Below are 1,788 nucleotides of genomic sequence, written 5' to 3' on the forward strand. Positions count from 1 at the left end.
AACACTTCCACATATTACTAAAACTTAAGCTCCCTAATTTAAATTATTTCACTACATTTTAATGTAGTTTAATTATAACCATTTGCTTATTTATATTTATTGTATATGTTTGGTGGAAATATGATGTTACTTTGCTGCTGCACTTATCTTTGCAACACCATGGTCAATGACATCATGTCTGCCTTGACATCATCTTGAAATCTTCGGTAGGGTATTTACATCACAAAAATTACCAAACATAAAAATCAGGGCTGAATTGATTGTGTTGTTGATTTTCCAGGCATTTAAAAGTGACGATAATGCAAATTCAACTGAAGTGTGGCAATATTTTGAAAAAAAATGTTCTTCCAGTATTTAAAACTACCATTAGATTGAGAAAGAAGATGCTCACTACATTGAAAAATAAGTAAAATGTTGATGCATATCTATCTTTTTCACTTTTGTCTTTCTCAGAACATAAACAAAAATATGGTAGAACAATACTCATTTATCATTCAAAATCGTAATTTGACCACAGAAAACAGCAGTTTGACAAAAATTAATAAAGGCATTCAGTAAGATTAAATTGACTATATGGGGGGGAGGAGCCCAGATGGCCGAAAAGGAACAGCTCCGGTCTACAGCTCCCAGCGTGAGCGACGCAGAAGACTGGTGATTTCTGCATTTCCATCTGAGGTACCGGGTTCATCTCACTAGGGAGTGCCAGACAGTGGGCGCAGGTCAGTGGGTGCGCGCACTGTGCACGAGCCGAAGCAGGGCGAGGCATTGCCTCACTTGGGAAGTGCAAGGGGTCAGGGATTTCCCTTTCTGAGTCAAAGAAAGGGGTGACGGACGGCACCTGGAAAATCAGGTCACTCCCACCTGAATACTGCGCTTTTCCGACGGGCTTAAAAAAAGGCGCACCACGAGATTATATCCTGCACCTGGCTCAGAGGGTCCTACGCCCACAGAGTCTCACTGATTGCTAGCACAGCAGTCTGGGATCAAACTGCAAGGCAGCAGCTAGGCAGGGGGAGGGGCGTCCACCATTGCCCAGGCTTGCTTAGGTAAACAAAGCAGCAGGGAAGCTCGAACTTGGTGGAGCCCACCACAGCTCAAGGAGGCCTGCCTGCTTCTGTAGGCTCCACCTCTGGGGGCAGGGCACAGACAAACAAAAAGACAGCAGTAACCTCTGCAGACTTAAATGTCCCTGTCTGACAGCTTTGAAGAGAGCAGTGGTTCTCCCAGCACACAGCTGGAGATCTGAGAATGGGCAGACTGCCTCCTCAAGTGGGTCCCTGACCCCCGAGCAGCCTAACTGGGAGGCAACCCCCGGCAGGGGCACACTGACACCTCACACGGCAGGGTACTCCAACAGACCTGCAGCTGATGGTCCTCTCTGTTAGAGGGAAAACTAACAACCAGAAAGGACATCCACACCAAAAACCCATCTGTACGTCACCATCATCAAAGACCAAAAGTAGATAAAACCACAAAGATGGGTAAAAAACAGAACAGAAAAACTGGAAACTCTAAAAAGCAGAGCGCCTCTCCTCCTCCAAAGGAATGCAGTTCCTCACCAGCAATGGAACAAAGCTGGATGGAGAATGACTTTGACAAGCTGAGAGAAGAAGGCTTCAGACGATCAAATTACTCTGAGCTACGGGAGGACATTCAAACCAAAGGCAAAGAAGTTGAAAACGTTGAAAAAAATTTAGAAGAATGGATAACTAGAATAACCAATACAGAGAAGTGCTTAAAGGAGCTGATGGAGCTGAAAACCAAGGCTCGAGAACTACGTGAAGAATG

The 1,788-nt window shown here is 44.9% G+C and overlaps 1 annotated feature.

The window, feature by feature from the left end:
- Positions 815-1,387: an enhancer, noted in NCBI's record as "H3K27ac-H3K4me1 hESC enhancer chr5:100516072-100516644 (GRCh37/hg19 assembly coordinates)". NCBI's record gives its function as "activates a minimal SCP1, AML or CMV promoter by ChIP-STARR-seq in primed H9 embryonic stem cells {active_cell/tissue: H9 hESC(primed)}" and the evidence as "EXISTENCE:reporter gene assay evidence [ECO:0000049][PMID:30033119]".

This window comes from Homo sapiens, chromosome 5, assembly GCF_000001405.40.
Source record: "Homo sapiens chromosome 5, GRCh38.p14 Primary Assembly".
In the NCBI taxonomy this organism is placed as follows: Eukaryota; Metazoa; Chordata; class Mammalia; order Primates; family Hominidae; genus Homo; species Homo sapiens.